The sequence below is a fragment of the Homo sapiens genome, chromosome 17 (genome assembly GCF_000001405.40).
Source record: "Homo sapiens chromosome 17, GRCh38.p14 Primary Assembly".
Classification (NCBI taxonomy): Eukaryota; Metazoa; Chordata; class Mammalia; order Primates; family Hominidae; genus Homo; species Homo sapiens.
In genome coordinates this window covers 60,229,559-60,245,068 of record NC_000017.11, presented here as the reverse complement: position 1 = coordinate 60,245,068, position 15,510 = coordinate 60,229,559, and the positions used below count along the sequence as shown (strand labels likewise).

General features: G+C 39.1%; 1 protein-coding gene and 1 non-coding gene across 14 annotated transcripts in view; both read left to right on the top strand.

Moving 5' to 3' along the window:
* Nucleotides 1–15,510, top strand: part of USP32 (ubiquitin specific peptidase 32) — a 245,090-nt gene that overhangs the window by 177,348 nt on the left and 52,232 nt on the right. For all 13 annotated transcript variants that reach the window (XM_011525372.2, XM_011525371.2, XM_011525376.2 and 10 more), the window contains one exon: nt 8,829–8,931. In XM_011525372.2, coding sequence (XP_011523674.1) covers nt 8,829–8,931 — 103 coding nt within the window. The remainder of the gene's footprint in view (nt 1–8,828; nt 8,932–15,510) is intronic.
* On the top strand, nt 13,424–13,553 carry SCARNA20 (small Cajal body-specific RNA 20). The gene has a single exon (NR_002999.2).

The following is a 15,510-nucleotide window of genomic DNA, read 5'->3' as shown; positions in this document are numbered from 1 at the left end:
GACAACAATAGCACAAAGGTGAGAGTAGAAGGGGAGCTATATTTGAGCAAAGTTTCTATGTTTTAGTTTCTACACTTTTTTAGTTTCTATACTTTACTGGAATAAATTAGTATCAATCAAACATAGTAGACTATGTTGGCTGGGTGCCATGGCTCACGCCTGTAATCCCAGCTCTTTGGGAGGCCAAGGCAGGCGGATCTCTTGAAGCCAGGAGTTCGATACCAGCCTGGCCAACATGGCAAAACCTCGTCTCTACTCAAAGTACAAAAATTAGCCTGGCGTGGTGGTGCGTGCCTGTAACCCTATCTATTCATGAGGCTGAGGTGGGAGAATCACTTGAACCCAGGAGGCAGAGGTTGCAGTAAGCTGAGATGGAACGCCTGCTCTCCAGCCTGGGCGACAGAGCAAGATGACATCTCAAAAACATAAAGTAAAATAAACAATAAAGTAGACTATGTTAAGATCCATATTGTAAACCCTACAACAATCTCTAAGAAAATGATCCCCCAAAATAGTTTTATTTAAAAAGGCATTAAAATGTTACCTATTTAAATTCCTAGAAAATACCTATTTACCACAAAAGAAAGAACTAGAGGAATAGAGGAACAAATAGACTTGATACATAGAAAACAAAAAACTAAATAGCAGACATAAATCCACATCTGTTTTTACCTTAAATATAAACAGATTGAACAGATAATCAAAAGCCAAAGATTTAGACTGACTTGTTTTTTGAAAAATCTAGCTACTTGGCTGGGCACGGTGGCTCATGCCTGTAATCCTAGCACTTTGGGAGGCCGAGGTGGGTGGATTGCAAGGTGAGGAGATTGAGACCATCCTGGTTAACACGGTCTCTACTAAAAAAATTAGCTGGGCGTGGTGGTGGGCGCCTATAGTCCCAGCTACTCGGGAGGCTGAGACAGGAGAATGGCGTGAACCCGGGAGGCGGGGCTTGCAGTGAGCCGAGATCGCGTCACTGCACTTCAGCCTGGGTGACAGAGCTAGACTCCATCTCAAAAAAAAAAAAAAAAAAAAAAAACACAATCCAGCTACTTGAGATTCAAAGGCACAAATAGGTTGAAAGTAAAAGAATAAAAGATAAAACCATACAAATATAGCCATACGTGAACTAAAATCACTTTACTGTTAAGAAAAGAAAATGGCTTTTAGGTTACAAAAGTCAAGTTACTGGAGCCAGAGAGACATTTTATTATGATAAATGATGATATATGCACCCACCAACAGAACCCTTCAGCCAACAGCAACAGAATACATATTCAAATGTAGACAGAGTATTGTTCTAGGATAGACCATATACTAGGCCAGCAGTTAGTCAGCAGACTATGGCATATTGACCAACTTTGTCCCACTGCCTGATTCTGTACAATCTGCAAGCTAAAAATGTTTTTACCGTTTTAAGTGGCTTAGAAAAAACCAAAAGGGGATAAATATTTTGTGACACCTTACAATTATATAAAATTCACATTTCAGTGTACATAAATAACATTTTACTAGAGCACAGTCATGCTCATTCACAACTTTGGGGAAGGGAAATTCCTCACTCTAAAAAATATCTTGAAAAACATACAGCTGAGATCATACTTAATGGTAGAACACTGAAGGCTTTTCCCATAAGATCAGGAAAGGATACTTGCTTTTGCCGCACTTATCAACATTGTATTAGAGCTTCAAGCTAGTTAAATTAGGCAAGAAAAGGAAATAAAAGGCATCAAGATTGTAAAGAAAAATAAAACTGTCTGTAATTGCAGATAACATGATCCTATGTGTAGAAAACCCTGAAGAATTCACAGAAAAACTGTTAGAATTAATAAAATGAGTTCAGCAACATGACAGGATACAAGATCAATGATTAAGCAATCAATTGAATTGTCATGTACTAGATAGAATAATTTGAAAGTACAATTAAAAAGAAGACAACAATTCCATTCACTATATTGTCAAAAGAAATCAAACCCTTGGAAACAAATTCAACAAAAGAAGTGCAAGACTTGTGCACTGAAAGATACAAAGCATTGCTGACAGAAATTTAAGAAAATGTACGTAAATGGATTTGAAAACTTATTGTTGTCAATATGGCAATTTTCTCAAATTGTTCTATAGATTCAAAACACACCTAATCAAATCCCAGCTTTTTTCTATAAATTGACAAGCTATTCCTAAATTGTATAGGGAAATGCAGAGAACTCAGACTAGCCTAAACAACTTCAAAAAAATGACAAAAAACAGAAGACTTAGACTTCCTGATTTCACAATTTACCTAAGGATACATTAATCAAGTACTGGAATAAGGAGAATCATAGAGATCAGTAAAATGGAATTGATATTTTAAAAGGAAACCCTTGGCCAGGCGTGGTGGCTCATGCCTGTAATCCCAGCACTTTAGGAGGCAGAGGTGGTTTCACTGATGTCAGAAGTTTGAGATCAGCCTGGCCAACATGGCGAAACCCTATCTCTACTAAAAACACAAAAATTAGCCAGGCATGGTGGCACACGACTGTAGTCTCAGCTACTCATGAGGCTAAGGCAGGAGAATCACTTGAGCCCAGGAGGCGGAGGTTGCAGTGAGCTGAGACCATGCCACTACACCCCAGCCTGGGTGACGGTGAGACTCTGCCTGAAAAAAGAAAAAAAGGAAACCCTTATATTTTTGGTCAATGGTTATTTTTATTATCATTTTTATTGTTTTTTAAAGATGTCAAGAAAATTCAGTAGAGAAAGGACTGACTTTAAAAAGAAAAAAAAATGGTCCAGGAGGAGCTGAGCACAGTGGTGTAGCTGGCCAGTAGTCCCAGCTACTCAGGAGGCTGAGACAGGAGGATCACTTAAGCCCAGGAGTTCACGGCTTTAGTGTGAGTATGCAGTGATCACACCTGTGAATAGCCACCTCATACCAGCCTGTACAACATAGCAAGATTCTGTCTCTTTAAAAAACAAAAAACGGTGCAGGAGAATTTGGATATCCATACACAAACAGATTATTTTAGACCCCTTACCTCACACTATGCTTAAAAGTATACTCAAAATGGATTCCCTATACCTAAACATCAGAGCTAAAAATATAACACTTCTAGAAAAGCAAATGTAGAAAATCTTTGTGATTTGGGATTAGAAGATTTCATAGATATAACACCAAAAGCACAGTTTATAAGTGGGGAAAAAAGTGTAAGACTTAGAAAAAATTAAAAACGTTTGAGTTTCAAGAGAGAGCATTAAGAAAATAAAAGCTACAGCCTCACAGCCCTAGAGAAAATATTTGCAAATTTTATATATGATAAAGTATTCATGTCCAGAATATATAAAGGACTGTTACAACACATTAAGACATCAAGAAAATCTAATTTAAAATGTGTAAAAGAGTTGAATAGACTCTTAACCATACATGTAAGTACATGACAAGATGTTCTGCTTCCTCAGAGAAGGCAAATTAAAAGCACAATGAGAGGAGTGACTCAGTGAAAATTATGTAGTGGGTAGCTCTAAGAGCCTGTCTCTCCACAGAAACATTGAAAAATAAAGAACAAACTGCCCATTTCAACTCTGTTGGAACTCTGAAGAAAGAGACAAAGATTTATAGCTACTAAGCAAATGTTGATTTAAAAAATTATAAAAAAAATAATAATTTTTTAAAAGCCTGTATATATATTTGCCATTGTCTGGTTTAGTAATGGCAGCCTTGAAAATGGCAACCCACCTGGTCCCTGGTTTCAGAGAGAGCAGAACATACCTTATTTATAGAGTTGTGTTTGTCAGGCTGGGTGCGTTGGCTCACACCTGTAATCCCAGCACTTTGGGAGGCCACAGTGGGTGAATCAGTTGAGGTTAGGAGTTCGAGACCAGCCTGGCCAACATGATGGAACCCCGTCTGTACTAAAAATACAAAAAATTAGCCGGCCATGGTGGCGCACACCTGTAGTTCCAGCTACTTGGGAGGCTGAGGCAGGAGAATCGCTTGAACCCGAGAGGCAGAGGTTACAGTGAGCTGAGATTGAGCCACTGCACTCCAGCCTGGGCAACAGAGCAAGACTCTGTCTCAAAAACAAAACAAAACAAGTTGTGTTTGTCTAAACCGTCTGGGGCTACCAGAAAAGCTACTGCAAGATGCTCAGCTATGTTATACTTAACTCAGAATTTACCCAGGATGGAAAGGCAGGCAGGGTTATTCGTCAGAAGTTCTGTAAGGCAAACGAGCCAGCCACCTGCAGTCACCTGGGGTAAAATATTTTAATTGAGGCATATAATAGAATGCTGAAAGTCTTGCGGGTGGTGGGAACTTGAGAGTTTCCTTGGGAAATTAAAGTACCCAAAAGCACACTGTACATTGGGTAATTTAGAAGGCTTTGCACATGCCAACAACAAGATACACACTCAGAAAAGACCTTATAAGACCCGTAAACTTTCACCTCTGGCTGAGCTTCTAGACTAAGGGTACAGGTAGTGAAGGCTAAGGCATAGTTGTAAACCATTGTAGGAATGCCCCAGCACAGCGCCATTCTGCAAAGACAGTAGTGGTTTTTGTCTTTGTCTCTGTCTTTTGTCTCTCTCTCTCTCTCTCTCCCTTTTTTCTCTTTCTCTTCCTCTCTCTCCCTCCCTCTCTCTTTTCTTCTCTCCCTCTCCCCACTTCTGCCATTCTAGGAAATCACTGTCAAAATACTAGCTCTTCGAACACAAGTGAAATGAAGACTTAAGAAACTACACATAACAAGGAAGACAGACTTTATAAAAATATTTTAGAAAAGTGACTAAACAAACAACTATAGCAGTCAGTGAAAGCAAACCCTGAGGTGGAGGGAAATATTTCTAGAGTTACCATTAATGCTCAAAATGTTGTTTTCAACAAAAAATTGCAGAAACAAGAAAGTGTGGTCCATTCGCAGAGGAAATTAATAGAAATTCTCTTTGAGGAAGCACAGACATTGGACTTAGTAGACAAACATTTAAAATCAATTATCTTAAATATGTTCAAAGAGCTAATGGAGGTGATGGACAACAAACTAAAGGAAACCAGGAGAATTGGCTTGGGCATGGTGGCCCACGCCTGTAATCCCAGCACTTTGGGAGGCCAAGGCGCAGATAATTTGAGGTCAGGAGTTCGAGACCAGCCTGGCCAACATGGTAAAACCCCGTCTCTACTAAAAAATATACAAAAATTAGCCAGGCCTGGTGGCAGGCTCCTGTAATCCCAACTACTTGGAAGGTTGAGGCAGGAGAATCCCTTGAACCCGGGAGGCGGAGGTTGTAGTGATCTGAGATTGTGCCACTTGCACTCCAGCCTGGGTGACAGAGCGAGACTCCATCTCAAAAACTAATAAATAAAGAAATAAATAAATGAAACCAAGAGAATGATATATGTACAAATAGAGTATCAATAAAGAGAAAGTATAAAAAGGAACCAAACAGGTTTTGGAGCTGAAAACTACAATAACTGAAATGAGAAATCTATTAGAGGGGTTCTCCATCAGATATGAGCAGGCAGAAGAATGAATCAGAGAAGTTAAATAAAAGTCCATTGAAATTATTGACTGAGGAGCAGAAAGAAAACAGAATGACGAAAAATGAACAGAACGTAAGAAACCCATAGAACAACATCATATGTGTCAACATAAGAATCTTAGGAAAGGAGAGAGAAGGAAAGGGCAGAATATTTGAAGAAATAATTGTCCTAAACTTCTTAAGACGTGAACCTACGCGTTCAAAAAGCTCATTGGACTTAAAGAAAGATAAACAAAGTGATCCACACTGAGAAGCATTATAATGAAACTGTATTTTACAAAGCCAAGAACAAAGAGAGAATCTTGAAAGCAAAAGAGAAGCTGTTTGTCCCATACAATGGATCATCAATAAAATTAATAGCATGTTTCTCATCAGAAAGCATGGAATCCAGAAGTGAGTGGGATGGTAATTTTTTTAAAGAACTGAAAGTGGGGGAAAAACTGTAACCAAGATCTCTATATCTAACAAAACTATTTCCTCAAAAATTATTTGAATTTTGCAGTGGAATGTTAGTTGTAGCACCAAAAGCATGAGCAACCAAAGAAAAACTACTGCATTTCATCAAAATTTGAAAGGTTTTCGTTTGTTTTGTTTTTGTGTTTTGAGACAGTCTCACACTGTCACACAGGCTGGAGTGCAGTGGCACCATCACAGCTCACTGCAACCTCAAACTCCCTCCCACCTCAGCTTCGTGAGTAGCTGGGACCACAGGCGTGCACCACCACAACCAGCTAATTTTTTTTTTTTTTTTTTTGAGATGGAGTCTCGCTCTGTTGCCCAGGCTGGAGTGCAATGGCATGATCTCGACTCACTGCAAACTCTGCCTCCTGGGTTCAAGCGATTCTACTGTGTCAGCCTCCCAAGTAGCTGGGATTATAGGTGCCCACCACTACACCAGCTAATTTTTTTGTATTTTTAGTAGAGACGGGGTTTCACCATGTTAGTCAGGCAGGTCTCGAACTCCTGACCTCAGGTTATCTGCCTGCCTCGGTCTCCCAAAGTGCTGGGATTATAGGCGTGAGGCACTGCGCCCAGCTAATTTTTGTATATTTTGTAGAGATGAGGGTTTGCCATGTTGCCCAGGCTGGTCTTGAACTCCTGGGCTCAAGCGATTCGCCTGCCTCAGCCTCCCAAAGTGCTGAGATTACAGGTGTGAGCCACTGTACCTGGCAAAACTTAAAACTTTTATACATCAAGAGATATTATTTTTAAAACCAAAAAAACCTATAGAATGGGAGATAATATAATCCAATAAGGGTCTCCTAACTAGAATATATAAAGAACTCCTACAGCTTAACAACAAAAAGCAAACAACCCAATTTAAAAATAGACACCTAAAAATGGACTTGAATACATGTTTCTCCAGATGTTCAGTGATCATCAAGCACATGAAAAGATGCTCAACGTAATTAGTCATTAGGGAAATGCAAGTCAAAACAATGAAATTCTACTTCTCAATAAGATTATTAGAATTTTTAAAATGGAAGGTTTTGGCAAGTAGGGAAATTAGGGACTCTCATATATTGCTGGTAGAAATGTAAAATGGTGCAATCACTGTGGAAAACAGTTTGGCAGTTCCTCAGCAAGAATTTCCATGTACCAGCAATTCTACTTCTAAATATATACCAGAATAATTGAAAACAGGTACTCAAATACTTGAACACAACTTTCATAGTACCACTGTTCACAATAGCCAAAAGGTAGAAACAGTCTATACATCCATCAGTGGATGAATGGTTAAACGAGATGTAGTATATACACACCATGGAATATTATTCAACCATAAAAAGGAATAAAGTACTGATACATACTACAACATGGTTGGACCTCACAAACATGTTAAATGAAGGAAGCCAGACATAAAAGGTCATATGTTGAATCATCCCATTTACATGAAATATCCAGAACAGGCAAGTCAATAGGTCCAGACAGCAGACTGGTGGTTGTTAAGGTCTGGGCGAAGTGGGTAATGGGGAATAACTATTTAATGGATGACTTTTTAATTGAGGTGTATCAGAATGTTTTGAAACTTAATAAGAGGTGGTCACACAGCATTTTGGATGTACTAAATGCCATTGAATTGTATGATTTAAAATAATTTCATATTATGCCATTTTCACCTCAAAAAAATAAATAGTTTTTGGTTGGGCACAGTGGCTCATGTCTGTAATCCCAACACTTTTGGGAGTTCAAGACCAGCCTGGGTGACATAGTGAGACCTTGTCTCTAGTTAAAAAAAAAAAAAAAAAAAAATTAGCTGGGCATAGCACACACCTGTAGTCCCAGATACTTGTGAGGCTGAGGCAGGAGGATTGCTTGAGCCCAGGAGGTCAAGGCTTCAGCGAGCTGAGATTGCACCACTGCACTCCAGCCTAGGCTAGAGTGAGATTCTGTAGATAGATAGATAGATAGATAGATAGATAGATAGATAGATAGATAGATAGAGTAGATTTTTTTTTTTATAATCCCAGTGTAACAGTGTTTCACACCCACTAGAATTGCTGATGGGAATGTTAAATGGACAGCCACTTTGGAAATTGACTTGCCAGTTTCAAATGTTCTTTAGGTGTTGGATGGATAAACAAAATGTAATATATACATACAGTGGAATACTATTCAGTAATAAAGCACAACCAACTGATGTCTGCCACAATAATAGATGAACCACAAAAACACGCAAAGTCAAAGAGGCCAAATTTTTAAAAGGCCATGTGTTTTATCATTTTATTTATATGAATAGTTGAGAAAAGACAAATCTGTAAGAGACAAAACATAGATTAGTGGTTTCCTGTTGCTGAGGGTGGTAATAGGAATTGACCAAAAATGGCTACAGCAGTCTTTTTGGATTAATTGAAATGTTTTAAATGTTCTCAAACTGATTGTGGTGTTGGTTGCACATATCTGTAAAGTTATCAAAATCACTGAGTTGTACACTTAAAATAGGTAAGTTTTATATATATGTAAATTATTCCTCAATAAGGCTGTTTTGAAGAACATCATTGGTTACATGAACATTCTGCAAAAAATGTAATTAATTAATTAATTGGAAACACCAGTTGTTTTTCTAATTTTTTTTAATTTTTAAGTTTTTCCCAGAATCTTTTCCTGAAGTAATTATTCTTGATACTGCCCTATGACTCTTGAAATTGGTTTATCAATAGAAACAGTGTTGTTTTACTAATTGGGTTTTGGCAGTCTCTCCTAATTACATCTAAATGTTTCGCGGTTTTCCTTATAAAACTTCTAATGATAATTTTTGTGCGTTGCCACCTATTTCACACTTTGTTTGATGTATTTAATTTCTTTTGTACATACAGAGGATGGTTAGAACGAGAGAGCAGGTATGGTCTGCAAGCAGGACACAACTGGTTTATCATCTCCATGCAGTGGTGGCAACAGTGGAAAGAATATGTCAAATACGTGAGTTAGATTCCTGTCTATTTACATTTTTCACAGGATTTTCAGCTGCGTGAGACTTCCAGCCAATAATAAAATGCTATGACTACCAGCCAATAATAAAATGCTCCAACTTAAATAAAGATTCGAAGGGAAAGGAAATGAGTGTTTATATGATACTTGCTATGGTCTAGGCTTTGTGATTACACTTCCACATACATTTCTTTCCTTGCAACAACCCTAAAAAAAGATAATATTGGGTACGGGGGTACCTGCATATGTCACATACATCACATCTCATTTATTTCTCGCACCACCCTTGTGAGGAAGATAATATTATACCCATTTTACCTGTGGGGAACCTGGTGCTGAAAGAAAAAGTAACCTGAATGTCATGATCAGGGTGGAAGATCTGGGATCAAACCGAAGGACTGACTTTAAAGCTTATATTCTCTCAACTACATCATTTACATTGTCCTTTATTTTACCTTTTCCATTAAAATGGAATTTTTTTCAGAACTAGAAAATTGAAAAGAGTAATGCCAAGAATCAAGTATTTGCCTTCTTGGAGAGCCAACTGATATATACACTCATTGCCAAATGATCACTAACGAAAATTCTAATCATTTGATTCCTATTTGCCTGTATTTCCTCTGTCACTGCTTATTATCAGAATATTGGTAGTTACATACTTTTTACATTATCTATCTCATCATTCTTTCTCATCCTTTTTCCATTTTGCAGAGTTTATTAATGTGTTTTCACATGTAAAATATATTAATTGGGAAACACGGACTTTGGTGTCTCTGAAGGAATAAAAAGTAGGCAAATGACTTCCTGGACCTTGTAGGTAGATAATGATGGTATGTGTAGGTAGAAAAATGAGAATATTGGGGTACAGCATCAGTCATTATTTTGAAATACTTTTTTGGTTTTTATATTTGTAGCTTGGCCTTAGAATGAGTGGTTGTTAATGTTTTAATGAGTATAGACTCAAAGAATAACCTAGTTTTGTCTTGGATGTATTACGTTTTGTTTTCCGTAGGAACACAATAGAGATCTTACTCTTAGCAGCGTGTCCCTTATAAACAGACTGAACTGCACTGACAAGAACATGAACCTGGTTTATTGTTGCCTACCATAGTCCTTTTGTGCACTAAAGAAATTTGGGGAGGGTAGTAAGGGAGAGGTATACATGGGAGAATCTACATATTCCCTTCTCCACTCTGGCATTTGATATTATTTTCTAGCATGCGTCTGTCAAATGCAAACTTTAAAATTTACTTAAGAATGAAGTCTGGCTGGGCCTGTAATCTCGGGACTTTGAAACGCCCAGATAGGGGGATCACCTGAGCCTAGGAATTCAAGACCAGCCTGGGCAACATAGTGAGACTCCATCTCTACAAAACAAAAAAAAATTTTTTTTTTTCTGAGACGGAGTCTTGCTTTTGTCGCCCAGGCTGGAGTGCAGTGGCGCGATCTCGGCTCACTGCAAGCTCCGCCTTCCAGGTTCACGCCATTCTTCTGCCTCAGCCTCCCGAGTAGCTGGGACTACAGGCACGTGCCACCACGCCCGGCTAATTTTTTTTTGTATTTTTAGTAGAGATGGGGCTTCACTGTGTTAGCCAGGATGGTCTCAATCTCCTGACCTCGTGATCTGCCCTCCTCGGCCTCCCGAAGTGCTGGGATTACAGGCGTGAACCACCACGCCCGGTCCAAAAAAATTTTTTTTTAAATTAGTCATGCTTGAGCCGGGTGTGGTGGCTCACACCTGTAATCCCAGCACTTTGGGAGGCCAAGGCGGGCGGATCACGAGGTCGGGAGATCGAGACCATCCTGGCTAACACGGTGAAACCCCGTCTCTACTGAAAATACAACAAATTAGCCGGGCATGGTGGCAGGCGCCTATGGTCCCAGCTACTCGGGAGGGTGAGGCAGGAGAAAGGCTTGAACCCGGGAGGCGGAGCTTGCAGTGAGCCGAGATCGCGTCACTGCACTCCAGCCTGGGCGACAGAGCAAGACTCCATCTCAAAAAAAAAAAAAAATTAGTCATGCTTGGTAGTGTGCGCCTGTAGTCCCAGCTACTTGGGAGGCTGAGGTGGGAGGATTGCTTGAGCCTGATAGGTCAAGACTGCAGTGAGCCATGATCACACCACTACACTCCAGTTTGGGTGACAGAGCAAGACCCTGTCTCATAACATAAATGAATAAATAAAGGCAAACTTAGAGTTACAATAAACCTGGGAGGAGAGGAGTATCGCTTTATATGGAGAGAAAGGAGGCAGAGTATGGGAATTTATTCAATAAGATGGGGAAAAATGTAAGTGGAGTAACAGCAGTACTTTCTGAAAATACATATTAATTAGAAAAGTGTTTTTACTAAATAAAGAGACAGGGAACTATGGCAACTTATTAATAAGGTGGGGGAAATGTAAGTTGACTAATAACAATCCTCTGAACATGTTTTAATTAGAAAAGTGTTCTTTTCTAAAAGTAAATGCAAATAACTGCACACTGACAGATTTTTTAAAAATGTTTTTAAACTGAATTCAAGTAACCTTTTTAAAAAAGTGACATTCTGGGCCTTGTTTCCTCCATGTGTAAAATTAGAGTAATAATAATAATCGCCCTCATAGTGTTACGAGGATTAAATGAGTTTGATGCATGTTAAGTGTTTTGTTGTTGTTGTTTGCTTGTTTGTTGAGACAGGATCTTCCTTTGTTGCCCAGGCTGGAGTGTAGTGGCACAATCATAGCTCACTACAGCCTCAACCTCATGGACTGAGGCAATTCTCCCACCTCCTGAGTAGCTGAGACTCCAGGCATGCACTACCACACCTGGCTAATTTTTTGATTTTCTGTAGAGATGGGGTCTCACTATGCCTGCCAGGCTAGTCTCGAACTCCTGGGCTCAAGCGATTCTCCTGCCTTGGGCTCTCAGAGTGCTAGGATTACAGGCACCCAGACTCTTGTTAAGTATTTTAAAACAGTGTCTGGTACATAGTAAGTACTAAATAGGTAGCTATTATTATGAGAAACTTCAATAAGGTAATTGTAGTGAGCTTGGACTCTTGTCCCTTGCACTTGCTTTATGACCTTGAATAAATTACTACTTCTTGCTCTACCTCAGTTTTCACATATGAACAATGAGATTAATAGTAATATCTATTTAAGTAGGGATGTGAGAATTAAATGAGTTAATACATGTGAAGCACTTAGCCCAGTGCCTGGCAGATAGAAACTCTATATAAGGTTAAAGGTAATAATGGTGGTAGTAGTAGCAGTAGTTATATGAGGATTTAAATTTCTTCTTTCATGCCAGGCATGGTGGCTCACGCCTATTATCCCAGCACTTTGGGATGCCAAAGCAGGCAGATCACTTGAGGCTGGGAGTTCAGCACCAACCTGCCCAACCTGGAGAAAACCCGTCTCTACTAAAAATACAAAAATTAGCCGGGTATGGTGGTGTATGCCTGTAATCCCAGCTACTCAGGAGGCTGAGACACAAGAATAGCTCGAACCTAGGAGGCAGAGGTTGTAGAGAGCCAAGATGATGCCACTGCACTCCAGCCTGGGCAACAGAATGAGACTGTATTTAAAAAAAAAAAAAAAAAAATCAAATTTCTCTTTCCAGTCCATGTGGCCACTTTGACAAACGCCTTGTTTAAAAAAAAAAAAAAAAAAAATTTGGGCCAGGTGCAATGGCTCACACCTGCAATCCCAGCTCTTTGGGAGGCTGAGGCAGGCAGATCACTTGAGACCAGGAGTTCCAGACCAGCCTGGCCAACATGGTGAAACCCCGACTCTACTAAAAATATAAAAATTAGCCTGGCGTGGTGGCGTGTGCCTGCAGTTCCAGCTACTTGGGAGGCTGAGGCAGGAGAATCGCTTAAACCCAAGAAGCAGAGGTTGCAGTGAGCCGAGATCATGCCACTGCACACCATCCTGGATGACAGAGTGAGACTCCATCTCAAAAAAAAAAAAAAAAAAAAAAGAAAAAGAAAATTAGTGTTGACATGTCAGATAATTTGATCTTAGAGCTTCATCTGCCTACCTAAGAGAGTACTTAGCTTTAATTTTTTCTCTTCATAAAATGACATATTTACTTACGAATATTACTAATTGTGAGGGTAGTATGTTTCAAATACTGGCAAGACTAAATGGAAAGATCAGAGACCAAGGGATCAGGAAAAATGAGCCATCCTTTCTTAGAAGTGGCTAACCCCAGATTTGCTGATTCACTGGAGCATGAATAATTTGATTGTGTCTCTGCTCATGGAATCTTACCAGTCTTTCCCCGCTTTAATGTGTCAAGCTTTATTCTTCTATGTGTAATCTCCTAAAAAAATGTAAATGGGGAAGAATGGTGAAATCTTTTCTATCATTATTACATTACATAATGTGTATCTTCCTTTTTGAGAACTATGAAGGAGCAGCTATTACTATTCACATGCAGATTTTCCTATTTAGTTATCACGTAACTTTAGAGCTAGAAGATACTTTAAATCACCTTTCGTGCCTCTCTCCCATGGGCTTTGGGGGGTCCCTGTTCTCCTTAGCCAAGGCTGGAGGCCAAGAGCAGCCCTCGAGGATCGTCGTCAGGACTGCCACGAGTGGGGCAGCCTTGTTTTCCTGCCTCAGACATGTGTAGTTGAGTGGGAAATAAAAGGAATGAAACACCTCTCTTCTCTGAATTTACAAATGAAGCCTCTGAGGTCCTTAGGTTTTATAATTGCCCAAAGCTGTATCAGACAATTATTTTATTACTTTATCTAGCACTCTAGAGCTCAGTGTCCTGAGTCCTGCCTTAGTACCTAATCTGTTGCTCCATGCTGCCCTCTATTTTTCCAAAGCTAGCATTTCAGTCACTAGTGAAATATGAAATTGACATAACTGTTAATTGATTCTTGTAACATACCTATGTACAGGGCATAAAAAGTAGTAGTATCATCAATAGAGAAAAAGGTGAATCTTGACCCATATTTTAGAACACATAAACTATTTATACAACTCACAGGGAATCCTAAAATCTCAAAATAAAATTCTCTTATATTAAAATAAGTACCTAGTCCTTTTGTGAATTGTTGACTCAGAAAATGAGGACATTTCTCTCTACAGGTGAAACTTTACCTATTTAGAAATCTATCTTCTGAAAACCAGGGTTCTAGGATAATTTTGAATAGTTCCAGACCCCTGAAGTCAATAAAAACAAAACATGATCCTTTGATGTTTTAGAAAAACAAAAATTTCCGCAAGCAGCCAGAAATGAACAGTCAAAAAAAGCTAGTGACTCTAAGATTCTGCAATATATAACTGTGATTGGTTTGTTCATCTTATAGAAGGAAAGTGGTAATAAGATTAATCGGATGAAAAGGTAGCTATTTCACTGAAAGCCAAGAAGGGTAGAAGGAACAAGAAAAATAAGCGTGTAGGAAGGGGAAGAAGGAACCTGAGTTGTGCTGACAGTTTCAGGCAGTGGAGAACAGTGAGAGCATCAGGTTCCTGTAATAGAAAAGAAAGCCGAAGACAATGAGAAGACAGACCAGTCTAGTTTGTTTGGAGCATTGGAAGAGAAGCAAAGAAAAGCCCATATTCTCCAAGTCTAAAGGTTATTACTCACTGTACCATGTTAAAAGCATGTGGTAGAACCGCAGTTGCTAGAGGCAAATGTTGCAATCTCTGAGAAGTTATTAGAATCATCCTGTTCACAAATTATTATAAAATTTAGCCTAGCAAATTTAATGCCTGGTAATATTTTTATTATCCTGTTTTCTTGCCAGTGATATATATAGATTTAACCTATGGACTGAGCTCTTCAGAATGAGAAGCATTATTACAGGAATGGTTTCATTTACATTTTCTTTAGAAACATAGGCACCATGTAAGACTTTCAAACATGTTAAAACATTTAAGATACAATTCCAAATATTACTCCTTGAAATTCTCTTACATGCCCATCTTAGAGGAAAACTTGAAGAAAATTGTTTGCTCAAATAGACCCAATCTTCCTCAAAATATATTACTACAAATTTTTTAGAAAGTAATTTGTGGTCGGGCGCAGTGACTCACGCCTGTAACCCCAGCACTTTGGGAGGCCAAGGCAGGTGGATCACCTGAGGTCAGGGGTTCAAGACCAGCCTGGCCAACGTGGCGAAACCCTGTCTCCACCAGAAATACAAAAATTAGCCAGGCGCAGTGGTGCGTGCCTGTAATCCCAGCTACTCCGGAGGCTGAGGCAGGAGAATTGCTTGAACCCAGGAGGCAGAGGTTGCAGTGACCCAACATTGCACCACTGCACTCCAGCCTGGGCAACAAAGCGAGACTCTGTCTCAAAAAAAGAAGGAAAAAAAAAGTAATTTGTAATGCATCAACTTTATATAAATGGAATATAGAAGTGAGTATAAATTTATAAACGGATTACCTTGCCAAAAATGTGATGGTTATTGAAACATCATTTAAGATCACTTATAGCAAAACTAAAGTGATTTTTCTGGAGGAAAACAAAGTGACTTGGAAGACTTTAATTTTTCTCAAAGGTGGCGCTGTTACTCTTTCAAAATGGTTTTGCTGTCTGTCTTGCTCCATCTTTATGGGCAGGAAGCAA